The sequence below is a fragment of the Homo sapiens genome, chromosome 7 (assembly GCF_000001405.40).
Source record: "Homo sapiens chromosome 7, GRCh38.p14 Primary Assembly".
NCBI lineage: Eukaryota > Metazoa > Chordata > Mammalia > Primates > Hominidae > Homo > Homo sapiens.
This window is the reverse complement of record NC_000007.14, coordinates 121542258-121569965: the sequence shown is the minus strand read 5'-3', so window position 1 is coordinate 121569965 and position 27708 is coordinate 121542258. Positions and strand designations below refer to the sequence as shown.

Genomic DNA, 27708 nt, shown 5'->3' with positions numbered 1-27708 from the left:
TAAATTCACTATCTTAGTACACTGACCACTCAAGACATCCCCATAGCACCCACCAACACCCACTGTCATCTCTGTTTAAGCATCTTGGCAGTATCTGCTTTACTTGATTTTATGGAGTGGGGAAAGAGGTTGGAGGGGGTCAATTCTGAGGTCACTTGGAGGCCCCAGAAAGCCATCCACAGTCTTAAAAAGTTTCCCTCAAGATTCAACTGAGCTATTTTACTAAAGTAGCTACACAGCACTTACCCCCATTCAAAGCGGGCAACATTTGATTTAAAATGTTGCTTTGTAAATATGTGTCAGGCCTCTGAGCCTAAGCTAAGCCATCATATCACCTGTGACCTGCACATACACATCCAGATGACCAGTTCCTGCCTTAACTGATGACATTCCACCACAAAAGAAGTGAAAATGGCCTGTTCCTGCCTTAACTGATGACATTGTCTTGTAAAATTCCTTCTGCTGGCTCATCCTGGCTCAAAAGCTCCCCCACTGAGTACCTTGTGACCCCAACTCCTGCCCGCCAGAGAACAACCCCCCTTTTTCCTTTACCTACCCAAATCCTACAAAATGGCCCCACCCCATCTCCCTTCGCTGACTCTCTTTTTGGACTCAGCCCACCTGCACCCAGGTGTTAAAAGCTTTTATTGCTCACACAAAGCCTGTTTGGTGGTCTCTTCACATGGATACGCATGAAATTTGGTGCTGTGACTCAGATCGGGGGACCTCCCTTGGGAGATCAATCCCCTGTCCTCCTGTTCTTTGCTCCATGAGAAAGATCCACCTACAACCTCAGGTCCTCAGACCGACCAGCCCAAGAAACATCTCACCAACTTCAAATCCGGTAAGTGGCCTCTTTTTACTCTCTTCTCCAACCTCCCTCACTATCCCTCAACCTCTTTCTCCTTTCAGTCTTGGTGCCACACTTCAATCTCTCCCTTCCCTTAATTTCAATTCCTTTCATTTTCTGGTAGAGACAAAGGAGACACATTTTATCCGTGGACCCAAAACTCCAGTGCTGGTCACGGACTGGGAGGGCAGACTTCCCTTGGTGTTTAATCATAGCAGGGATGCCTCTCTGATTATTCACCCACGTTTCAGAGGTGTCAGACCACGCAGGGATGCCTGCCTTGGTCCTTCACCCTTAGCAGCAAGTCCTGCTTTTCTGGAGGAGGGGCAAGTACCCCAACCCCTTCTCTCCATGTCTCTTACCCCTTCTCTGCTTTTCTGGAGGAGAGGCAAGAAGCCCTCAACCCCTTCTTCACCCTTAGCAGCAAGTCCCGCTTTTCTGGAGGAAGGGCAAGTACCCCAACCTCATATCTCTGTGCCCCGATCCCTTATTTCTACACCCCAACCTCTTATAACTTTGCACCCCGACCCCTTTCCCGCTTTTCTGGAAGGTAAGAACCCCTGAACCACTTCCTTCCGTGTCTCTACCCTCCCTTTTCTTGAAACTTGCCTCCTTCACTATAGGCAACCTTCCACCCTCCATTCCTCCTCCTTCTCCCTTAGCCTGTGTTCTTAAGAACATAAAACCTCTTCAACTGTCACCTGACCTAAAACCTAAATGCCTTATTTTCTTCTACAATGCTGCTTGACCCCAATACAAACTTGACAGTGGTTTTAAATGGCCAGAAAACGGCACTTTCGATTTCTCCATCCTACAAGACCTAAATAATTTTTGTCGAAAAATAGGCAAATGGTCTGAGGTGCCTGACATCCAGGCATTCTTTTACACATCGGTCCCTCCCTAGTCTCTGTGCCCAGTGCAACTCGTCCCAAATCTTCCTTCTTTCCTTCCCGCCTGTCCCCTCAGTCCCAACCCCAAGCGTTGCTGAGTCTTTCTAATCTTACTTTTCTACAGACCCATCTGACCTCTCCCCTCCTCCCCAGGCTGCTCCTCGCCAGGCCGAGCTAGGTCCCAATTCTTCCTCAGCCTCCGCTCCTCCACCCTATAATCTTTTTATCATCTCCCCTCCTCACACCCGGTCCGGTTTACAGTTCCATTCCGTGAGTAGCCCTCCCCCACCTGCCCAGCAATTTCCTCTTAAAAAGGTGGCTGAAGCTAAAGGCATAGTCAAGGTTAATGCTCCTTTTTCTTTATCAGACCTCTCCCAAATCAGTAAGCATTTAGGCTCTTTCATCAAATATGAAAAACCCAGTCCAGTTTATGGCTCGTTCAGCAGCAACCCTGAGACGCTTTACAGCCCTAGACCCTAAAAGGTCAAAAGGCCGTCTTATTCTCAATATATATTTTATTACCCAATCCACTCCTGACATTAAATAAAACTCCAAAAATTAAATTCCAGCCCTCAAACCCCACAAGAGGACTTAATTAACCTTGCCTTCAAGGTGTACAATAATAGAGTAGAGGCAGCCAAGTAGCAATGTGTTTCTGAGTTGCAATTACTTGCCTCCACTGTGAGACAAACCCCATCCACATCTCCAGCACACAAGAACTTCCAAACGCCTGAACCGCAGCGGCCAGATGTTCCTCCAGAACCACCTCCCCCAGGAGCTTGCTACAAGTGCCAGAAATCTGGCCACCAGGCCAAGGAATGCCCGCAGCCCAGGATTCCTCCTAAGCGGTGTCCCATCTGTGCAGGACCCCACTAGAAATCGGACTGTTCAACTCACCTGGCAGCCACTCCCAGAGCCCCTAGAACTCTGGCCCAAGGCTCTCTGACTGACTCCTTCCCAGATCTTCTCGGCTTAGCAGCTGAAGACTGATGCTGCCCGATCACCTTGGAAGCCCCGTAGACCATCAAGAACACCGAGCTTTAAGTAACTGTCACAGTGGAGGATAAGTCCGTCCCCTTCTTAATCAATATGGAGGCTACCCACTCCATATTACCTTCTTTTCAAAGGCCTGTTTCCCTTGCCTCCATAACTGTTGTAAGTATTGAGAGCCAGGCTTCTAAACCTCTTAAAACTCCCCAACTCTAGTGCCAACTTAGACAATACTCTTTTATGCACTCTTTTTTAGTTATCCCCACCTGCCCAGTTCCCTTATTAGGCCGAGATATTTTAACCAAATTATGTGCTTCACTGACTATTCCTGGACTACAGCCACATCTCATTGCCACCCTTCTCCCCAACCCAAAGCCACCTTTGCGTCTTCCTCTCGTATCCCCTCACCTTAACCCACAAGTATAGGACATCTCTACTCCTTCCCTGGCAACCGATCACATGCCCGTTACCATCCCATTAAAACCTAACCACACTTACCCTGCTCAACGCCAGTATCCCATCCCACAGCACGCTTTAAAAGGATTAAAACCTGTTATCACTTGCCTGCTACAGCATAGACTTCTAAAACCTATAAACTCTCCTTACAATTCCCCCATTTTACCTGTCCAAAAACCGGACAAGTCTTACAGATTAGTTCAGGATCTGCGCCTTATCAACCAAATTGTTTTGCCTATCCATCAATCCATACACTGTTTTGTCCTCAATACCTTCCTCCACAACTCACTATTCCATTCTCAATCTTAAAGACGCTTTTTCACTATTCCCCTGCACCCCTCATCCCAGCCTCTCTTTGCTTTCACCCAGACTGACCCTGACACCCATCAGTCCCAGCAGCTTACCTGGGCTGTGCTGCCGCAAGGTTTCAAGGACAGCCCTCATTACTTCAGACAAGCTCTTTCTCATGATTTACTTTCTTTCCACCCCTCCGCTTCTCACCTTATTCAATATATTGATGACCTTCTTCTTTGTAGCCCCACCTTTGAATCTTCTCAACAAGACACACTTCTGCTCCTTCAGCATTTATTCTCCAAAGGATATCAGGTATCCCCCTCCAAAGCTCAAATTTCTTCTCCATCCGTTACCTACCTCGGCATAATTCTTCACAAAAACACACGTGCTCTCCCTGCCGATCGTGTCTAACTGATCTCTCAAACCCCAACCCCTTCTACAAAACAACAACTCCTTTCCTTCCTAGGCATGGTTGTATACTTTCGCCTTTAGATACCTGGTTTTGCCATCCTAACAAAACCATTATATAAACTCACAAAAGGAAACTTAGCTGACCCCATAGATCCTAAATCCTTTCCCCACTCCTCTTTCCGTTCCTTGAAGACAGCTTTAGAGACTGCCCCCACTCTAGCTCTCCCTGACTCATCCCAACCCTTTTCATTACACACAGCTGAAGTGCAGGGCTGTGCAGGCAGAATTCTTACACAAGGACCAGGATCGCGTCCTGTAGCCTTTTTGTCCAAACAACTTGACCTTACTGTTTTAGGCTGGCCATCATATCTCTGTGCAGTGGCTGCTGCTGCCCTAATACTTTTAGAGGCCCTCAAAATCACAAACTATGCTCAACTCACTCTCTACAGCTCTCATAATTTCCAAAATCTATTTTCTTCCTCACACCTGATGCATATACTTTCTGCTCCCCGGCTCCTTCAGCTGTACTCACTCTTTGTTAAGTCCCACAATTACCATTGTTCCTGGCCCTGACTTCAATCCGGCCTCCCACATTATTCCTGATACCACACCTGACCCCCATGACTGTATCTCTCTGATCCACCTGACATTCACCCCATTTCCCCAAATTTCCTTCTTTCCTGTTGCTCACCCTGATCACGCTTGATTTATTGATAGCAGTTCCACCAGGCCTAATAGCCACACACCAGCAAAGGCAGGCTATGCTATAGTACAAGCCACTAGCCCGCCTCTTAGAACCTCTCATTTCCTTTCCATCGTAGAAATCTATCCTCAAGGAAATAATTTCTCAGTGTTCCATCTGCTATTCTACTACTCCTCAGGGATTATTCAGGCCCCCTCCCTTCCCTACACATCAAGCTCGAGGATTTGCCCCCACCCAGGACTGGCAAATTAGATTTACTCAACATGCCCCGAGTCAGAAAACTAAAATACCTCTTAGTCTAGGTAGACACTTTCACTGGATAGGTAGAGGCCTTTCCTACAGGGTCTGAGAAGGCCACCGCAGTCATTTCTTCCCTTCTGTCAGACATAATTCCTCAGTTTAGCCTTCCCACCTCTATGTAGTTTGATAACAGACCAGCTTTTATCAGTCAAATCAGCCAAGCAGTTTTTCAAGCTCTTAGGATTCAGTGAAACCTTTATATCCCTTATGGTCCTCCATCTTCAGGAAATGTAGAACGGACTAAAAGTCTTTTAAAAACACACATCACCAAGCTCAGCCACCAACTTAAAAAGGACTGAACAATACTTTTACCACTTTCCCTTCTCAGAATTCAGGCCTGTCCTCGGAATGCTACAAGGTACAGCCCATTTGAGCTCCTGTATTGACGCTCCTTTTTATTAGGCCCCAGTCTCATTCCAGACACCAGACCAACTTAGACTGTGCCCCAAAAAACTTGTCATCCCTACTATCTTCTGTCTAGTCATACTCCTATTCGCCGTTCTCAACTACTCATACATGCCCTGCTCTTGTTTACACTGCCAGTTTACACTGTTTCTCCAAGCCACCACAGCTGATATCTCCTGGTGCTATCCCCAAACTGCCACTCTTAACTCTTGAAGTAAATAAATAATCTTTGCTGGCAGGACTATGCTGAATCTCCTTAGGCACCCTCTAATCAGATGTCCTAGGTCCTCCCAATTCTTAGACCTTTTATACCTGTTTTTCTCCTTCTCTTATTCCATTTAGTTTTTCAATTCATATAAAACCATATCCAGGCCATCACCAATAATTCTACAAGACAAATATTTCTTCTAACAACCCCACAATATCACCCCTTACCACAAAATCTTCCTTCAGCTTAATTGCTCCCACTCTAGGTTCCCACGCCACCCCTAATCCCGCCCGAAGCAGCCCTGAGAAACATCGCCCATTATCTCTCCATACCACCCCCAAAAATTTTCACTGTCCCAACACTTTACCACTATTTCATTTTATTTTTCTTATTAATATAAGAAGACAGGAATGTCAGGCCTCTGAGCCCAAGCTAAGCCATCATATCCCCTGTGACCTGCATGTACACATCCAGACGGCCAGTTCCTGCCTTAACTGATGACATTCCACCACAAAAGAAATGAAAATGGCCTGTTCCTGCCTTAACTGATGACATTGTCTTGTGAAATTCCTTCTCCTGGCTCATCCTGGCTCAAAAGCTCCCCCACTGAGTACCTTGTGACCCCCATTCCTGCCCGCCAGAGAAAAACCCCCTTTTTCCTTTACCTACCCAAATCCTATAAAACAGCCCCACCCCATCTCCCTTCACTGACTCTCTTTTCGTTCTCAGCCTGCCTGTACCCAGGTGATTAAAAGCTTTTATTGCTCACACAAAGCCTGTTTGGTGGTCTCTTCACATGGACACGCATGAAAATATGGATCTGAGGAAACATGGGTCTAAGGTGTACCAGCTTATCAGCATTGTTTTTGGTAAATGGTGAGATTGATGGTTTGCACCTGTTGTTATTGAGATCCCTAAAGGCTCTGTTACTGATTAGATTGCAAAAAGATGCCTATGTGACCAGTATGATATAAAAAGGTCAGCCCAGACTCCTGGTTCCTGGATGTTAGATGTACATATCAGTCATTCCTGACTGGAGAGAAAAAGTGCATTCTAGCACAGGCCTGCAGAGGGAGGACAATTGGAACCAGCTTCTCCACTTTTTGGAAAGCAGCCTTTGGCTGGGATATATAGATTACTTTAATGCCATTGCTCTATTGTATCTCTTCCCAGCAATAAACCATAAATCCACAAGCTTTGACGTTTTTGGACATATTTTGGACCTATATTAGCCAAATACCTTCTCTCTGCTACTATTTGTGTCATTGGGCTTCACAAGATCATCCCAGCTAATAAAATACATAAATATCTAGCAAACACACACGAACGATACCTGAAAATTTATAGATGTTATCAATGTGTAGAAATAGATCATCACTGGTTATTTTAAAATGCTATTGTGCTTAAAACATCATCTTATTCATGACACATATTTTGAATTTAGTAATGTGTGAAAGTCATTATAAGGATTCCATGGAAAAAGTAGCCCACCATATCAAATAGAGTAAGGCATGATATTCAAAAGTCAACATCAGAAGAGTTAAAGACCTAACTGGGAAAGTAAAGACTGAAATGAAATTAAGGAAAATGTAAGAGATTATCTTTATAAGCCTACGAGTACAGAAGGGCTTCTGAAACAGGAGGCCCAAAATCAAAACAATAACGTGAAAAGGTGGCATACTCAATTACATCAAAATTAAGGTTGAACAAGATTAGTAGAAAATATAGAGCCTAAACAAGTCAAAAGATTTTATTTCTATATGAATAGAAACTCAGGTAGATCATTTAGAAAAAGAAGGAAAACCAGAGAGACTGAAACCCACTGGTAATCAGATTAATGAAAACTGAAATGATGACATACCATTTTGTATTTCTCAGATTGGCAAAACATAGACTACAAAAACACCAAATGTTGAGAACTATGTGGATAAATGAGGAGCCACTGCATTGCTAAGGGTCACATACTCTGGCAACAATTTCAGGAATGGTAACAATTTCATGAATAGTAACCTGATAGTACTCAGAGAATTTATGATCCAAAAAGATCATTCCTGCATTTATATTGCAGAGAAACTCACATGTATGTCCATAAGGGTAGTGAGCAAGGATAATCATCATTTTGCTTGCATAGTCAAGAGTTTGAGGCAACAGTGGCGTCTATCTACAGGGCATCTTATAATAAAATGTGGTAGATACACACAATGGAATACTATGTAGCAACTAGAAACAATGAATGAGATATACATATACCAACATAAATAGATCTTAAAACACATGGAGTTAAAATATGCAAAAAATAGAATTCAGTCTATGGTACAAAGCCATCGATGCAAATAAAAAAGCAAACATGCACTTCAAGAACATACAAGTATATGATATATCAGACATGTGGAGAAGGGAAGTGGGACAGGGGATGAAGAGATGGGGAAAAGTAAAACAAAAAGAGCCAAGTAAGGACATATATTGGAAGTATGAGATAAACTGAGTAGTATACATTTAACTGAATTCCTTGCACATGAGGTTCAAAAACTCCATGTGGCTCTGAATTCTGGCAGAGTGCCAGGCTTTTGACAGACTCCTCATATGCATTTGAAAGCTTTATTTAATAGGAAACAATTATACGGTACTGTTTCAAAATTTAATCATTGGGCTCACTAATCAACACATACAAAGAGAATTAAGGTGTTGCCATGTTTTAATTGTATTTGAATTAAAACAAAAAACTTAACCCAGAATTTTATGAATTATTTTAGTACTAAATGTTAACATATATCATTAAAATACTAGAATTAGAGCTACCAGATAATTTATCACCCAAACTAGGACACTTTTGTGAATAAAAGTAGACACAAAAATAATGAAAATTGTATACTATTTGAGATACTTATTTACTGATTTATCATTTGATGCTATTTGTAGACATAAGTAATGATTCTATTCACATATCATTTTCAGGGACTTCTGCTTCTAGATTTGATAATTAATAGCAAACACATTTGATCTTTCACTTTAAGCAATTTTAAAATGGACAAAATATACAAAGCAGATTTCATACATTGGACAAAAGGCAGCTCAGGAAAGGGATCCCCTGAGAGAATAGAGCAAATGAAGTAAGCTTAGGATTGTTCTAGCTTACTCCCAAAAAAAGTGTCCAGGGAAGGGGGACCCAAACCACAGGCTGGCAGACTTGCTTAGTGGAAAGACAGAGTTGCCAATTCGGAGAGGCCAAGAAAATAGAATTTGCAGTGCAGAATACCAGAGAAGAGAAAGCTGTATGGAGCAGAGAGAGCTTTACAAAGAGAGAGCCCAGAAAAGTAGGAAGAGTTCCCCTCAAGTCTTCAGGTAAGTACCAATCAATACATGCACGTGAGAAAACTACCCAAAACTGGAGAGAAAAATATCAGAAATAATGAAACGCAACAATCCTCATAGCTCATGTAGAGTCTGAAATAGTGTTTTCCCAGTAGTCAGAGTGTAAACCTCTCTTAATTCATATGACAAAAAATGAGTCCTGGACTAAAGGCTGCTCAGGCTTTGCCTAGCAAATTTTAAAAGCAGGCTTCAAAAGGATTGTACTGTTTTCAAGTAACAAACTGAGCCTCAGAACAAGATTCAATAATATGAACAGGAGTGTATAAGTATCCAGCATCCAGCACGTTAAAATTCACATTGCATGGCATCCAAACAAAACTGACAGACATGAAAGGGAAATGTGACCCATATGGGGAAAATTAAATCAATAGAAACAGATCCAAAAATGAAACAAATATAGAATTAGTAGACAAGGTCATCAAGACCGTTATTACAACTAGATTCCATATGTTCAAGAAAATAAAGGAAATCATGAGAACATTAAAGAAGAGCATAAAGATGTAAAAAAAAAAAAGACCTGAATTAAACTTCTAGAGATGAAAATGTAATATCTGAGTGAAAAAATATATACTTGGATGGAATTAACAGCAGATCGAATACTGCTGATCAAAAATAGAAGCTGCATCCAAAAAAATTGCCATAAGTCAAGTTACTCCAAAATGAAGTAGAATTTCAAAATTTGTACACCATCTGGGGCCTTTTCATTGATTTTGTTCAGTTTATCCCTTGCTTTTATTTTATAGGACTAAATTTCCATGTCTTTCTGTTTGCAGGATTTGACTATAATTGCAATTATCTAAAAATGTCAAAGATTGTTGACACTTTGACATTAAAAATGTCAAGAGATTGTTGGTACTCCATTAAATAATTCATTTAAACATTTCCAACTGATTTTGAATAAAACGCAAAAAAAAGAGGACTCACTTTTCAAAGTTCAATACCACTATAAAATACTAAAGGAAATTTATTAGGTTAATAGGCAGCAAAGAAAAAAGCATGTGCCACCATAGTAACTTATTTTTTAACTTGTCACAAAAAAGTTTATACTTCAGTTACTCAGTTGTGTATATGTAAAAACACATAGATAAATTTCAGCAACCATAGGTTTTGATTAATACAATACAGATGTTTATTTAGATATAATGACAAGTTGAATGTGCATGACAATTCCAAGTATATTTGCTCCATAAATAATTTAATTATAGCATTGTGTTTACTATGGCCCTGTTTTCCATAAACATTTTATTCACGTTGTCTCATCAAAACATAAAACTTTTTCTTCAATATTGAACATTTAATTTAATGTATAGTACCAATCATAATAAGGATGTTCCCCAACTTACAGTGGTTGGACTTAATGCTTTTCAACTTTACAACAATGTGAAATCAATATGCATTTAGTAGAAATTGTACTTTTAGTGCTCATACAACTGTTCTATTTTTCACTTTCAGTATGGTATTCAACAAATTACATAAGATATTAAGCACTTTATTATAAAATAGACTTTGTGTGAGATGAATTTGCCCAACTGTAGGCTAATGGAAAGTTCCTGAGCGCATTTAAGGTAGACTAGGTTAAGCTATGATGTTTGGTAGGTTGGTTATATTAAATGCATTTTCAGCTTCTGATATTTTCAATTCATGATGAGCTTATGGAGAGGTGATCCCATAGTAAGACAAGGAGCATCTGTAGTGTCAGATATTTCACTTTCAGTTAAATTAAATTTCAGAAGCTTTTCGCTGGTTCCATGAGTTGAATTTTAAAAATTGAACCATTGGAATTAATGTATCTGACTTTCTATGTGAAGCATCTGGTGTCACTGCCAAAAGTTAGACTTTCTTTAACTGTTTGTGAAATTCTAACCAAACCAACACGTTAATAACTATTGCTTCACTTTTTGTACATGTAAAAAATGGAAATCAGAAAAGAGTGAAGTTAATTCAAAGAAGACTTGTTTAATTTAATGAAATATTATGTACAACCTTCCTAACATGACTACCTACTACCAACTTCTGAAGGGAATGCTCAAGCATCTTAAGAATATTTTTATTTTTGGATGTTCACACGGTCCGTGATGTTACTACAGCTTTCATAGTTGGATGGTAAACATCCTCAAAGCTTGCACAATCTTATTATGTGCATCATTGCATTTATTAGGAAATGAATGTTTAGGTGCTTAATTTCCCATTAAATATAGACTTTGGATTTTTGTTTGTTTTTTTGTTTTGTTTTAAGCTCATTGATGTCAAAAAAGTTTGTTGCAAAAGAAAAAAACAAAAGACTAACCAAAAAATGTGATCCCTAAGGGAATACTACTTATTATACCCTATATAATAAATAACTAAACCACTGTAGCAATAACATTCGGCCCACTTTGATGCATTATTCAGAATAACTGTTCAGACTCTTATTTCTCCAAATTACTTCATGCACATCTAACTTATAGTTTCCAGTGTTTCCCAGTGATGCAGCAGATTGGTGACTGCAGGTTTGTGAATCTCAAAGGCTAATACAAAGCTATGGAACATGGGCTTATATGCCACGTGGCCAGCAGAGGCAGAAGCTTCAAGTATTTTTCCATCCCGCTCTACACTGGAGCTAATCTATCCCTTGTCACTCACATTCAGTGCATTTATCTGAGAGTGTCTTTCATGCTGTGCCTGAAAGAAAGGGGATAATTGTGTTTTGTCTGAAAAGAGATGGGAAAAGATGAATAGCTGATCATCTTCTAGATTGAAGTGCAAGTTTAAGTAAGAACTCCATACATTGGACAGCAGAAATTCTAAATACAATGTGAAGGTCCACCAAATCTATCCCTGATTATTTTAATGCAATTGTTAATGTTGCTATTTTATTTTAAAAATTAATAAACAAAGAATCTAGGATGTATGCTAAAATTGAAAGGGTCCCAGGACAAAGAGAATAAATGAGAATTGTAAGCCGAGTCATACGATTACACTAACTGGAATGGTAGATACTATGTTTAGTACAATTGCTTGTTTTTTGCTTTTATTACTTCTATTCATCTTTTTTTAAGCTAAGAACTGATTGCTTACTTTAAGGCAACACTGTACAAAGCACTTTCAGTCATTATCTCTCAGAATACTTACAAAAAAACTACTAGAGGTTATACAAGTGGCATGAACTAGTGTTCATTGTAGAACTGGAATTTTCATCTAGTTCTAATACCAAGGCCTGTGCTCTTAATGGCGATTATGTTTCGTTCAAGTGCTCTATATTATAGAAAGCCTTGCCTGAAATTCTCCTGTTCCAATTTGCTATTGCTGCCTAGCAAATCCCCACAAACTTAGTGGCATAAAACAATCACAATTTTATTGTGGTTTTATTGCTCATGGATTCTATGAGTCAGAAATTTCCACCAGGCACAACCTAGATGGCTTGTTTCTGTCCTGGGATGATTGAGGCCTGAGCTAAGAGAGACACAAGTGGCTCAGGATGGAATTATCTAAAGGTTTCTTCACTCACACATCTGATGTTGGGGCTGGATGAGCCTGAGGCTGGGTTCAGGAGGAACCAGAGTCTGCACAGGACCTCTCCAAGGGGCTTGGGCTTCTCGCTGAGTGGCAGTTGGGTTCTGAGAGGAAGTATCCAGAGCATGAGCATTCCAAAGGAACCAGGAAGAAGCTTCAGCCTCAGAAGTCACTTTGGTTCATTTCCACCACACTGTGTTGCTCAAAACAGGTACAAGCCTCCCAAATTCCAGGAGAAAGAACATAAATCCCACCTCTCAGGGGGAGGAGTCTGAAGAAATTTAAGACCATGTTTAAATGTCTGCATCTTTTTACAACACACACACACACCTCACAACTCCTCTGTGTTCACATGGTACTTTGTACAGGCAGCTGTCTGATCACCTCCTACATATTATAGCACTAAAGTGTTTATATACAACCTTTCTCTACAGGACTGTGTGTTTCTTAAGGTGCAGGACTCCATTTTATTCCCAGAATTTAGCACAATGTATGGCACTTAGTAGTTGCTCCATAATCGTGTGTTAAATAATTGGTTGAGGGATGGATTGGATAAGAAGAAATTTAATTAAAAACATTGAAAAATAAAAATAACTCTGTTGATCACACCTGTAATCCCAGCACTTTGGGAGGCTGAGGCAGGTGGATTGCTTAAGCTCAGGAGTTTGAGGCCAGTCTGGGCAACATGGCAAGACCTTGTCTCTACTAAAAATAAAAAATATTAGCATGGTGTGGTGGTGCATGCCTGTAGTCCCAGCTACTCAAGAGGCTGATGTGGGAGGATCAATTGAGCCTGGGACATCAAGGCTGCAGTGAGCTATGATTGTGTCACTGCACTCTAGCCTGGGCAACAGAGTGAGACCGTGTCTCAAAAAAAAAAAAAAAAATTGCCCTCAATCCTTCCTTCATACCAAAAAGATAGCATAAATCCTCTCTTAGTAAAGAGCACATGAATAAAAAGTCTATCTTCCTGTTAGAAATGTCTTCACTGAGAGTGGAGTCATGTGGTAGTCTAGGTATAGGCTTCAAATAGGAGGTATGGGCACCTTCTTTCTCCTTTCCATCATTCCCGGTAAAGAAAAGCCAAAGCTCTTCTATATCTCTCCAAATAATCTTTAGCTTTGTTTTCATAGGCATGACAGGGCCCTGGCAAGATCCTCTCCATGTCCCAGTGACCATGGTCTCGGACCCTGGAAAACGTGACTGTTTGTTTAGCCACACTTGCGTGCTCCTAGGATAGTACTGACTATACCTCCCCACCTTCTTGTCCTTCGCTTTCTTAGCTTTCAACACCACTCAGAGGTCTGAACTTTACCCAAAATGTTCTGGTCTCCACTGAATTTTAAGAATTGATGATTTTCTAAACCATACATGGAGAAAAAACATAATACTTATGTTAGTACAATGACAGAGGGTTTTTACTCCATATTTTCCATCTTGACATTTCCCCTGATTTATGAAATAGAATTGTTTTATAATACTTTGATGCTTTAGATTTTCTTTCCCTCATTGAAAAAAAAGCAGTGTTGAAAATATAATTGAATGTTTTCCTACATTAAAACTACATACTTGTTTGCTGTCATTCAATCACTAGACACATTAAATTTTCTGGATGAATGGAATATGCATAAAATGAATTGTATTGTTGTTCAGTTGAGTGTCCTGTAAATATAAAATAGATTATTCAGCAAGATTCTTGTGGCATAGAAAACATTATTAAGTGGTTCCTCGAGATAAGTCTGGCTGAGGCATGAGGCTTGGGATCTCTACCTTCCTGAGCTCAGGGGGATCTCACCAGATTAAGTTATTTCCATGGAAGCTTCCCCTGAAGGCTATAATAGGCCTGAGGAGGATGGATCCATGGTTGCATGTAAAATTTGCAAAAGTGAAAAACACGAGCTATAATTTAAGTTAAAGGTAACTGTCTCTTTTTACTCTGATCTTTTCTCTATCCTACTCCCACCTGCTGAAGACATTATAGTGGCTGTAACATTTTTTAGGTTCAACTAAGCAGAAGTTGGGTTCGAACTATGCCATTGTAACTGCAATTTGCAAAGAGCTTTAAAAATGTTTCAATAAAACCAGTTAGAAATAACGTATTCCCTATTTTCTAATATGTATGAGGTAACATGTTCACACTTATTTATTTATTAAATAAATGAGAAAAACTAAAAATTAGTGAGATATAAGCAAAGTTCATAAAGATGAATAATGAAAACAAGGGAAATTAATCTGTCATTGAAAGTGACTTGTAACCTAAAAATTCAAATTACATGAAAAACAGTAATTCATTAGGAAAGAGATAAATTTATGAGAAGTAACAAATAAGACTCTTGTAGTATTTGATAACCCACAAAATGAAGATGAGCAAATTATATGAACACATTAGAAAAAATGTTTAAAATTCTTCCTCATTTGACATAAAATATTGATATCAATGAATAACGTGTATTTATATATATACACACACACGTTATTCATTTATATATAAATATATATACACACACATTATTCATTGATATCAATGTGTGTATATTGATATGTGTGTATATCAATTATTCATTGATATAATGCATGTATGTGTATATATGTGTGTGTGTGTGTGTGTATATATATATATACATGTAAAATTACCTGCAGGGTTTGTCAAAACACGTCTTGTCATGCTCCGCCCTTGGAGAATTTGAATCATCAGGCCTGGATTGGGGGTGTGTGAATTTGCTGATATAATTGGTTCCCAAGTGATGTTGATACCACTGATTCAGGATCCACACTTAAGAGAACCACTAATATTTAAAAATAATTATCTTAAGTCTTTTCTTCATTTCTTCTTTTTACCCTCATTGTCATAAACTTTGTAGCCTGCTCCATACTTTAAAAATGATTGGCCTTAGATAAATATTGTCTTACATGAATAGTGATAATATTCTAATTATTTCTATTTATTTGCTCTTTGTTTTCTGGAATAGAAATATTTCTCTTCAGACTATCTTTACCACCACATTTTATCCAATATCAATTCATTTCCAACCTGAAAGGGTGTATATTTGAATTCTAAAAGATTCTGATGAATAATTACACACATATTCAAGGTTTTCAAGAATATGTATAAGAACAATTTAAATTTTCTTTTAATTTCAAGAGATAAAACAAAAACCTGAAAGTCATTGCATAATAGAAAAGCGAGTTAATTTCAGTATGGTCAAAATGATCATAGGACTGAATTTGACTACTATGCTTATTGAGAGGGTTGTTAAATTAAATTGAGGTTTCGGTTAACTGTTTCAGAGAACCCACAGCAGTGAAAGAATTTAGGGCATTTGGGTCATTTTTACTTAGTTGACAAGGTGATAACTGATTTTAGATTAACTGGCACACGTAACTGTCCCTGGAAAATTTGTGAGTTCTACCAGATGTTGGACACTGCTTTTAGCACGCTCATGGAAAGCTTCTCATCACTGTGTGTCATTCTACTGCTGTGTGGAAGCAAAATCATTGTGTTTCATCTCACAGAATGTGACTCCTTAGCCATCTCAGTCTTCATATCACATTTCTTACTATCTGATGGGGTCAGAAACCAACTCATGATTTGCTCAGTGGAGTATATGTCATTGACTTAAACATAAAACTATAATTTAAGTAGGTTTAAGTGAAAACTCACCTTTTTTGATGGCATACTAATTTCCTATTTTCCTCCTTTAAATTTATAAGTGAAATATAAAATAAAGGTTCCCGTATGTTTGCTAAAAGAAAATAAGAAATATTTAGTGACTCATGGAAAAAAGCAGGGAGTTGCACCTGCAACAAAATACATTCCCAGTATGGTATTGAATTTGACTGTTGCTTCTAAAGAGAACTTTTGAAAAGGAAGTAAGGGATTTCCACTTCTGGGAAGATGAAATAGACATAATCTTACCTACTCCTCCTGCTAAGTACTTCTAAAACCCCTTGACATAATATATAAAGCAAACATAAGAAAACTTTGAATGAGGACGCAGTGGCTCACACCTGTAATCCCAGCACTTTGGGAGGCCAAGGAGGGCAGGTCACCTGAGGTCAGGAGTTTGAGACCAACCTGGCCAAAATGGTGAAACTCTGTCTCTACTAAAAATATAAAAATTAGCCAGGCATGTTGGTGGGTGACTGTAACCCCAGCTACGGAGAATGCTGAAGCAGGAGAATCATTTGAACCTGGGAAATGGAGGTTGCAGACAGCCAAGATTGCACCACTGTACTCCAAACTGGGCAACAGAGCAAGATTCGTCTCCAAAAAGAAAAAAATATATATATATATATATATATATATATATATATATATATATATATATATATACATAAAAGACAGAAAACTTTGAATGCTTGAGAGAAGACAGCAGAAAGGGACCTCAGGACCAAACGAACAACATGGAGATGAGTTCCTTGGCGGGGGCGGGTGGGGTGGGGGGTGGGGGCAGGGAGGTTGTTATTTTGTTGTGTTGTGTGTATGTGTGTTTTGTTTGTTTTGTTTTGTTTTGTTTTGTTTTGTCTCATATATCCCTAGACTTTGGGAGCTGAAGAAGCCAGTTACATGGCAATGTGAATGAATGCAGAAAAACTATATAGTTCCAACAAAGTCTATTCTTTCTAATCAAAGCTCAAGCTAGAAACACAGAAAAGTTTTATACAATAACTGCTTGACTTCAGCCAAACACTGCAGAAAAAAATATGTGGCTCCACCACCACTCATGCTGGCAAAGACCAAGAGGGTAGCCTAGACTTCCAGCCCACCCTATGATTTGACACTTTCCTCTCCCCCTGGGGTTCTGGTAGAAAAATCAGGACTTGGGACTCTACCTCTCCTCTGATGAGTCAGTGGAGGCCACCTGGGAAGATGTAAAGAGGCACTACTATCTCTCCAAGCCAGGAGACTATCAGCTGGACTTCCTGTTGTGCTAGACAGTAAGGAAGTACTCAAGCAACAACCAAAAGGGAGAATAAAACACTGTGCTGATGGAGGTATGTCCAAGGAGCCCAAGAACCAACTGAAAGGACTCCCAGTGACCAAAGCTGGAAACATTCATGGAATAAACGACATTTGAAAAGTATTGGAGGCCATGCACAGTGGCTCATGCCTGTAATCCAGCACTTTGGAAGGCCAAGGCAGGTGAATTGCTTGGGCCCAGGAGTTCGAGACCAGCCTGAGCAACATGACAAAACTCTGTCTCTACAAAAACTAAAAAAATTAGCTGGATGTGGTGGTGCATGCCTGTAGTCCCAGCTACTTTGGAGGCTGAGGCAGGAGGATCACATGAGCCCAGGAGGTAGAGGCTGCAGTGAGCCAAGATCATGTCACTGCACTCCAGTCTGGGCAACAGAGCAAGACTGTGTCTCAAAAAAAAAAGGTATTAGATACCTAAAGTATAAAACAAATAAAAATAAATATCAGAGAATCTATTTTGATATAAATAAATGATTGAATAAATTAATAAATGAGGAGAAGAGACAAATCTCCCATGCAGAAGATTCCAAATTATTTCCATTGATACTCCACCCTCTAGGAGGTGGCATAACTCCCCACTCCTTAAGTGTGGGCAATGCATAGTTTTTTCCTTGCAAAGACTATAGTTATACAAAGGGGGAAAAGCACAAAACCTCACAATGAAGAAACCTGACAAACACTGCCTTAGCCAGGTGATCAAGGTCAACATCAATAGTAATAAATCATATTAATAGTATGCATGTACCCTTATATGTATATCTCCTTGCTGTGATGTGGTAACAACGACAGTTTACCTCTGTTATTTTCCTTCCAATACTCATAATCTCCACATCTAATTATGAGGAAATCATCAGACAAACTCCAATAGAAAAACATCCTACAAAAATACCTGGCCAGTACTTTTGAAAAATTGTGAAAATGATCAAAAACAAGAAAAGTCCAAAAAGTCATTACAACTAAAAAAAGCCAAAGGGGAAATGACGACTTAAGGTAATATAGTACTTTAGATGGATCCTTGGAGAGAAATAAGACATCAGATAAAAAGTAAGGAAACATGAATAAAGTAGGAACTTTAGACAATATGTAAATATTGGCTCATTAATTGTAACAAATATACTAATGTAAAGTGTTAACAATTTGGGAAACTGGTGCAAAGTATATGGGAACTCTTTGTACCATCTTTTCAAATCTAAACTATTCTATAAAATAAAGTCAATTTTTTAAAAGTACACAAGAAGAAAGTTGATGATACTAATTAAAACCTATTTAACTGATTATTTCAGTTTTTATTTTTTTATTTACTAGCTATCTATCAAACTTAGCACCTGAAGAAAAGGGCTAGTGGAGCAGATCAATTTTGAAAAGAAATAGAAATTGGCAAAGTTGAGAGCTGGGAACGTCACCCAGGTGAGAAAACAGTGGGTGATATGGTTGAGAAGAGTTGTGGAGAGAAACAAAGATAGACTAAGGAGTACTGAGAGAGAGGAAGGAGGTGCTGAGTGGATCTTGGAAAGAAAGGAGTCCATGCAGGGAAGGGGGCCTGGGTGGGGGAAGCCCAGCCAGAGGTCGCACAGAGGGGAGAAGCTGGGGCTTGTGAAAGTCAAAGCTCTCCCTTTTCCTGAAATCTTACATTTAAAACTAAACCTACAAATGGAGGGTTGAGGGATGTTAATAATAAATCACTACATTCTTACTACAATAATTTCTCTTCCAGCTCAGCTATACTTGATTTTTATCTGAACCGGACTATAATCCCCATCTGAATGAAATCTAGGCCAGACCTTCAGTCTTTCTCTGCTTTCATTTCTCAGCCTTCAGTGGGACAGATCCAGGTTTTAAGTGGTCTGAAATGTATATAATTTACAAATATGAATTTAGATGTATAAATCAATTTTTATTTAAAACATGAAAGGAAATTATAATACACAACACATTTGGAAAAAAACTATCAAAAAAGGGACAATAAATATGTTATTTTTTCTGGCACATTTCTACATGCTTTGCCACAGATGAATTTATGACTCTGTGCATGGTGAACCTTGCTGCTTCTCCACTACCCACCGCTTTCTGGTGCTGGAGGTGGAGGACATATGCTCTTCATGATATGAATCCTGGCCAAGCAACTTTGTGTCAGCATAGTGAGTGTAGGAGTACCCCAGGATGGCTGGCAATAACTATACACAGAAGTAACTACAAACCACAAAAACATATTCCTCTAAGTCCGGATGAACTCAATTTCCCCTCAACTAGATCTTAGAAATACCCATGGCCACTCCAATTGCACCTGACACAGGATAAGAGGGACAAAGGGGAAGTCAGAGTGGACAGAACCAAGGTTTATAATAGATTGCAGTTAAAAATCTTACTTTTGGCCAGGCACAATGGCTCACACCTGTAATCCCAACACTTTGGGAGGCTGAGGCAGGTGGATCACTCGAGGTCAGGAGTTCAAGACCAGCCTGGCCAACATGGTGAAACCCCATCTCTACTAAAAATATAAAATTAGAGCGGCATGGTGGCGGGTGCCTGTAAGCCCAGGTACTTGGGAGGCTAAGTCAGGAGAATCACTGGAACGCAGGAGGTAGAGGTTGCAGTGAGCCGAGATTGCACCACTGCACTCCAGCCTGGGCAGCAAGAGTGAAAGTCCATGTCAAAAAAAAAAAATCTTACTTTTGCAGACATATGAAATGTGTTTTAATTGCCAGAGCACTTCCCAGAGCCTTGTTCTGGCTCCAAACTTTTAGCTTCATTACCCGCAACAGTGAATTTGCCTCTATGCACCCAGTAGTATCCACTGCATATGAGTATGATTTCAGGAAGCTGTGAAAAGGCTGAGCCTACCAATTTGTTCATCCTTTTTTTTTAATGAGGTAATCAGAAATTGTAGCAGAGATCTGTTTTAATCTTTATATATTGAGGTAATATTTATAACTGATAATATACATACATGTAATGGCTTTGCTCAATAAACACTAAATAAGAGTGTGTTTGTTTGTTTGTTTGTTTGTTTGTTTGTTTTTGAGATGGAGTCTCACTCTGTCACCCAGGCTGGAGTGCAGTGGCACCATCTCAGCTCACTGCAACCTCTACCTCCCAGGTTCAAGTGATTCTCCTGTCTCAACCTCCCAAGTAGCTGGGATTACAGGCACCTGACACCATGCCCAGCCAGTTTTTGTATTTTTAGTAGAGACGGGGTTTTGCCATGTTGGTCAGGCTGGTCTCAATCTCCTGACCTCAGGCGACCTCCCAAAGTGTTGGAATTACAGGCATGAGCCACTGCACCCGGCCATAAGAGTGTTTAAAAAAATTTAATTAGGAGGTCATTGGGCTGAGGTGATTCTAGCACCTTGGGTTCCTGTGTAAGCAAACTCAAACCCAATTCAGTATAAACGGTAAAATAAAACTTTAACTAACCCAGAAATCACCAACTAACCTCTAGCTAGGACTTTCCAGGGGAATGAGTTGAGCGAGGCTACCTCTCCCCAAATGTTTCCTTTGCCTTGCTCCCTCATTCACCTTATAAAAGTACCTTTGCCTTTATTGGAGTCCCCAAACCACTTGCAGTCTGGAAGTACCCAGATCCATGGATCACTAAATGCTCAAATAAAGTCTTTAATAGAGTTTTTAATGCTTTAATGTGCCTCAGTTTACCTTTCCACAAGTGCAAAATAAAATATTGGCCTACGTCAATGAGTTCATGGCTGTGCCACCTGTGCAGTCATATGGGGCCACTGTGCTCAGAAGGGCCCTGCATTTGATTTAAGATTCTTTTGTTGCCATCTTGAAATTCCTTAAAATTTTTGAACAAAGGGGCTTGCATTTTCATGGTGCATTGAGCACACCACTGCAAATTTTGTAGTTGGTTCTGATTGTGAATTCTACTGTGGTATTTGTGGAAAGAGCTTTTTGGTGTTTATCAACATTACTCTGTCAGAAAAATAAGAGTAAATGTTTATCAGATAAAGTCTTGTCATATTTCTTGATCATTAACTATTTAAGCTTGCTATGCAAATCGTATCTATACTGTCATTTGTGCTAAAACAGCAAACCACCAACAAATGCCTACATGCATAAGATGGCACTGCACTCAGCAACCTGTCTGAGAGATGGAACAAATTGAAGATTCCCAATGCTCAGGTGATTCCCTGCTGTTCCAGAAGCTCTTGATTACACATATGCTGAACTTGGTTTACAACAGATAGAGCTTATGTAAGGAGGAATTGAAGGCATTTTACACTTCTGTATATTTTTGTCTGAGGTAAATTTACATATTTTATACCAGTAACTCTTGGAGAAAAGGTGTCTGTGATATTAGAAGTCAAAACACTAAATGTTTTTACATTCAGCACCTCTAACCCTGATGTTTTTCAACTTATTCAAAGCCAACTTCATCCTCTTCTTCAATATTCTTTTCCTCTAATAGAAATATCATGTACACATATCAAGTCTGTTTTCCAAAAGAAAACATCTATTCTTTTGTTTTCGATAAGAAATTACTGCACCTCCAATTGAAATGTCAAATAGTCCTAAAGAATTAAGCAAAATGATTTTTCTTCTAATTTGCATGTTACAACATGAATTTTAGGTTAACTTGTAATCTCAAATGTATATTCTAACTTTCCATTAACTTCAGTTGGAAATGTATGCAAAATTTATTTGAAGAGAAAATGGCACCAGAGGTTGATAAACATTTCAAGGATAAAGGTACAATTAAAATGTTCAGTGAGATCCATATCTGCATTATTAAAATGATGTTACATGCACATCAAGGTTACACAGTGATTTTTCTTAGTATCTGAGGACAAACTTCATAGTGTAATAAGTGGAGGTTGTTCTACTGCCTATTTTCTGCAGAGTAAGTGTCTCCTGGGTTTACAAAGCATGAGTCAAATATTGATGCTATTGCTTGTATATCTCACCAGATGGCGCTAGGAGCATCTATAATAGCTGAACATCACACACTAGCGTACTGAAACGTCAGAATTTCCTTAAATTGAAGAATATTTCATTTCTGAAAGAAAAAAATATTTAAAATTACTTGTGAACAATTTTGTCTACCTATTTATACATAGACAAATTCACATCTCTCAAAGTTTTTTTAAAAATCACATAATTCCATTGGAAATAGTGTACTTTTTACCTTATTTAATCATTGCCATTTTTTCAGAACTGGTTTTCCTTCTTTGCTTAGGAACATCTCTGATGATTATTCTGCTCCTGTAGCATTCTGCCAAGCTGCAATGGCTGCATCTGTAGTACCATAAAAGCTTTTTCCCCAAAACATGTGTAAACATCTGCAGGAAAATTAGAAATTGTGGCTGATGGAAGGTAAAATGCCTTATCTAATGTCAGATAAACAAACATGCCTTATCTAATTACCACATTGAATCCAAGTTTTCAGCCTACATAATCAGGGGTCATTAAATTATAGTTTTTCTGACTCTAAGACTCATTATATGAAGCAACCGTTGAAGTGGGTTGGATAATTGTGGCTTCAAATAAATAAAGTGGAATCCTTTATTTTGCTGATGTTGGGAAACAGCTTCTAATTTCCAAACTCCTGGCCCTCTGTTAAATAGCTGAAATTTTTTAGTATACAATTTCCACTAGTGTATAGGAGAAATTTTTTTCCCTACCCACTTATTATTTCACGAAGATGTCAAGGTTATGGATAAAGTGAATATGCAACTAGACGTCCACAAGGCTGGAGTGGACTCTCCCTTAGTATGGGTAGAAGGGTAGAACTGAAACTCACAGACAGCCCGGAGGAGGACAGAGACAGACCTACACAGGTGAGTCCAGAGAGGTGTTCAAGAAGGCAATAAGAAGTTTAACAATTGCTTGAAGTTTGCAATTAGACCAGATGCACTCTCTCTCATAGGTGGCTCCAGGAACTTTTTTCACAATACCTTGAAGACAAATCTTTTGGGACACACATATGTCCTTATTTATTAGCACTCATTGATGTTTTGCACAGAACTGCCTTGTAAGAAGATCCTTCCTGATTAAATGTACCAAATAATTAAAATTTTATTTTGGTTTTCAACTTTGTTTTGATTCAACTCTTCATTTATCTCTCTATTTTGCTTAATCTGAATGCTGGTTTATGCAAAAATTTTCCAAACAGCATTGAGTTTGATTTCTGGGAAAAAAAATCTGAAATTTTGGAACGATAAGACATAATTTGTAACATTCAATAGGTTTTATACGAGTACAAGGCATAGATGTGTGTTTGTCTTAATGAGTTCTAAAATTCACAGAATATTAAAAATTCACAGAATGTTTACTAATTTCTGAAGAATTATCATCACTGAAGGCATGTAAGATGTTAGGAAAGCATAAAACTCTATCAGTTACTAGGTGTGTGATGCTGAGTGAGATATTAACACCACCAAGCCTCAGTTCCTTATCTCTAAAATGGAGATAATGCCTACCTCACCAGGTTGCTGAAAGGATCAAATAAATGTAAATGTCTAGCCCAAGTCTGTCACTTATTGGAAGATCAGCCAATATGATTTCCTTCCTTTCCTAAACTCTCCTGCTCAGTCAGAGTAACTGGGGTTTTCTTAAAAATGGAGAGGCATGCAGTAAGTAAGACATGTTTAAAAATAATAAAACAGCATTTATTTTGTAAATAGGCAAACTTGCTGTAACTGAGCAGTAAAAATTGCTTTTAAAAATGTGTAATTGCCTATCTCTGAAGTAGAAATTATCCACAGAATATATTATTATCTGTCAAAGTCTTGTTTGATGGTTCTTTATTGCTTTGTTTCTTTTACTTGTCTGGAAAGTAGAAAGAAAAGGGAATGCAACTCTCACTAGCACCCAATCACTGATGCCGCCCAGGGAATTATTCTCAGTACTGTTGAAGACAAAATGCATGAGACAATTGAGAAGGTGATATTATTCCAGCTAGTGCCATAGGGAGAGTCCCACAGATCAGAAAATTACAGTGTCTCTGCAGAGTGGATTTGCCTTAAGGCATTTACAGGAAAGAGTAGACAAATTGCAGGTGTGGGGATTCCCAGCTGTATTGTTTTGCAATCAGAAGAGGTCTCTGTTATTTAAGTGGGCAGAAAATGTTTATTTCTGTGTCTTGCTAGTTCAAAAACAAACAGTTGTAACCTTAGCTAATCATTCATGAGATAAAGAATAGACGTTTGTAATTTGTAATCCCAGCACTTTGGGAGGCTGAGGTGGGCAGGTCACTTGAGTCCAGAAGTTCAAGACCAGCCTGGCCAACATGGTGAAACCCCATCTCTACTAAAACTACAAAAATTAGCTGGGTGTGGTGGGGTGCACCTGTAATCTCAGCTACTAGGGAGGCTGAGGCAGGAGAATTGCTTGGACCTGGGAGGCAGAGGTTGCAGTGAGCTGAGATTATGCCACTGCACTCCAGCCTGAATGACAGAGTGAGACTCCATCTCCAAAAAAAAAAAAAAAAAAGGAATAATGGGACATTGGGTAGAGGCAAAGGGAAGGGGGAATTTATACCTGGCTTTGTCAGCAGGTTCAAACAAAGGTGAAAAGTGTGTGTTTGGCCTTGTCACAGGTAAACAAGAAAGCCATTTACAAGCCTGATGGGGGTCACAAGAAAGAATGGACAGTGAGTGCTATGTGAGTCACATGGAGAAGGGTGATTCATTTCCTTAAGCTGTTTTTCAGAACACAAAACGGTGAGGCATTTCTGAAAACAAAAAGTTGGTGAGATTTCTTAACCACAACTATTTTCTGAAAGCATGAGGCTCTGGAAAAGTTCAACATTGTTAGTCCTCTTTCCCTTTTGATCAAGACAGATAAATTTCATTCACTGTTGCACAAGTCAAAGGTGGCCATAAATCTCCTGAGTGAGGTGAACCAGGGTAAAAGAACTATGCTTGCGAGGACTCTTAATGACATGATGTCTTCAAAATTAATTAAATCACCCATCAAAAAATAAAATTACAATGTATTTAGTTTAAATTTATAATTGACTTTTATTTTCAATTCTAGAATCAGGGAACACCTCATTCTATAAAATAGAGTGAGTGTTCAAATGAACTGAATGGAGGAGGTTAGATTTATAGAATGAAAAGAGCCAAAGGAAACAAAAAGAGAGAATAAAAAACAGACTCATCCTTTCAACGTTACTTTCCTTATAGGGTTCAAACAGAGGAGGCATCCTTATTATGCTGACTCAGGTACTAGAATCTGCTGGGGGTTTTTTTTGGAAAACTGACCTGTTGGAAAGTTCAGTTTGATTATGTGGCACTTAGCCCAAGTAACTCCATTATAATTTGGTCTTGTCTGCTAGGGCCTAACACAGGAAACTAGTCCAAAATAATGGCCTCCCATAAACACATCTATTGAAAGGTAGAGGCAAAGCTCAGTTGTTTTAGAGTCCTAGAGATCAGGCATCTATATGAAAAATAAAAAAAATATATATATATAAAGCTGGATTAAAGTAAAGACCCAAGAGTTCAACCCTGAGAAAGTTTGGTCCAGTGGATTCCAGAGTCAGTGGATGAAAACCTTTTGATTATGTAGCACTGCTTATGGAGTTTCTTGAAGTTAAGAAGTTAATGTTCTTGGTGATGTTGTCCAGTCTTGGTTACTTCTCATGTAAGGTTATGCATGACCTGAGCATTTCAGTGAGCTTTCTTAGTGGCCTAGACAGTAACTTGCTCAGGGAGAAATTCAGTCCATTATGGTCTTCTGTGGTGATAAGTCCCTCAGGGTATATATCAAGTCATCAGGTTTTAGCCCCCAGTCCTTCTTCAGATCTGGAGGTGAAAGAACAGCTACAAGGCAACTTTGAGTCTCGATAAGGATCTCTAGATAGTCAGACTTTTGTTCTCAGTGAGACCAAGTTAAGAGGGAGGGAGAAAAGTTGGAAATGTTAGTTTGAAAGGTTATAGCCAGATATTGAAAAAAAAAATGAGAAGAATTGAAAACATGGTAAAAATTGACAATTTGTTCAAGGTAACAAAATCCAGTCTAATCACAAGTAGGTTACAAAACCAGTTATTGCACAGTGGGGAAGGAAGCCAATTAAATCTCAACCAAACAGAGTTAGCACATCCATCAGTTACCTACAATTTATAAAGAGGCACAAATAGTTCAAAGACGATTGAATTATTGTTTCAAATCTGATAACTCAAAAAGATCTGCTATAGTTTTCCACTGAAACAAAGTTTTCCTGAACAAAGATAGTCTTTAAAAAAAACAGGGCCAGGTGCAGTGGCTCACACCTGTAATCCCAGCACTTTGGGAGGCCAAGGCGGGAGGATCACGAGGTCAGGGGATCAAGACCATCCTGGCTAACATGGTGAAACCCCGTCTCTACTAAAAAAATACAAAAAAATTAGTCAGGCGTGGTGGCGGGCGCCTGTAGTCCCAGCTACTCAGGAGGCTGAGGCAGAAGAATGTCATGAACCCAGGAGGCTGAGCTTTCAGTGAGCCGAGATCGTGCCACTGCACTCCAGCCTGAGTGACAGTGAGACTCCATCTCAAAGAAAAAAAAAAAAAAAAGAGGAAAAGGAAAGAAGAGAAAAAAAGTGATTATTCTTGATCATAAAATAATGTGGTTTCATTCTTACTGGATTTAGCCTGATTATGTACAGAGGTACAGTAAGAATGGTAATTTACCATATATATCTTTTTAAGTTTGCTTTCCTGGAAGTTATCATTAGGAACTCTTGATTCAATTTCAACTTTTATTTATGTAGTTATTTAGGTTTTGTTTGTTTGTTTGTTTTTTGGGACAGAGTCTTGCTCTGTTGCCCAGGCCGGTGTGCAGTCACATGATCTCAGCTCACTGCAACCTCTGCCTCCTGGGTTCAAGCAATTCTCATGCCTCAACCTCCAGAGTAGCAGGAACTACAGGCACGTGCCACCACACCTAGCTAATTTCTGTATTTTCAGGAGAAACAGGGTTTCACCATGTTGGTCTAGCTGGTGTCGAACTCCTGACCTCAAGTGATCCGGCCACCTCAACCTCCCAAAGTGCTAGGATTACAGGCGTGAGCCACTATGCCCGGGCAATTTTAACTTTTAAATGCCCCTTGAGGCTAGTATGCCAAGCCAATAATTCATCATCAGATTTCACCTATATATTTAGATTAATTCCTTTCTTCTTGAGGTCCCTCAAATATTCTGAAATTCTTAGGATTACCAGGAAGTAGCCTTCCTTCCTCAGCTCTAAGGCTAAGAAGGAACAGTGTAGGCCCTGTAAGCCCTTTAAACCCTGTAAGACAGGTAATGGGCAAGTTTTCCTAAGAGGGCTTCAAAAGCATCGGCTCCATCAAGTCAATCCAAGTTTCTTTAGTGCCTGGTCATATCTGATTAAATACGCATCATTATCAAATATGAAATGGCAGG

The 27708-nt window shown here is 39.2% G+C and overlaps 3 annotated features.

Annotated features, from left to right (window-relative positions):
* Positions 17-596: an enhancer, noted in NCBI's record as "OCT4-NANOG-H3K27ac hESC enhancer chr7:121209424-121210003 (GRCh37/hg19 assembly coordinates)". NCBI's record gives its function as "activates a minimal SCP1, AML or CMV promoter by ChIP-STARR-seq in naive and primed H9 embryonic stem cells {active_cell/tissue: H9 hESC(naive and primed)}" and the evidence as "EXISTENCE:reporter gene assay evidence [ECO:0000049][PMID:30033119]".
* Positions 597-1177: an enhancer, noted in NCBI's record as "OCT4-NANOG-H3K27ac hESC enhancer chr7:121208843-121209423 (GRCh37/hg19 assembly coordinates)". NCBI's record gives its function as "activates a minimal SCP1, AML or CMV promoter by ChIP-STARR-seq in naive H9 embryonic stem cells {active_cell/tissue: H9 hESC(naive)}" and the evidence as "EXISTENCE:reporter gene assay evidence [ECO:0000049][PMID:30033119]".
* Positions 24464-25663: an enhancer, noted in NCBI's record as "P300/CBP strongly-dependent group 1 enhancer chr7:121184357-121185556 (GRCh37/hg19 assembly coordinates)". NCBI's record gives its function as "activates an origin of replication core promoter dependent on BRD2, BRD4, P300/CBP, MED14 and CDK7 cofactors, with strong dependence on P300/CBP, by STARR-seq in HCT116 cells {active_cell/tissue: HCT116}" and the evidence as "EXISTENCE:reporter gene assay evidence [ECO:0000049][PMID:35650434]".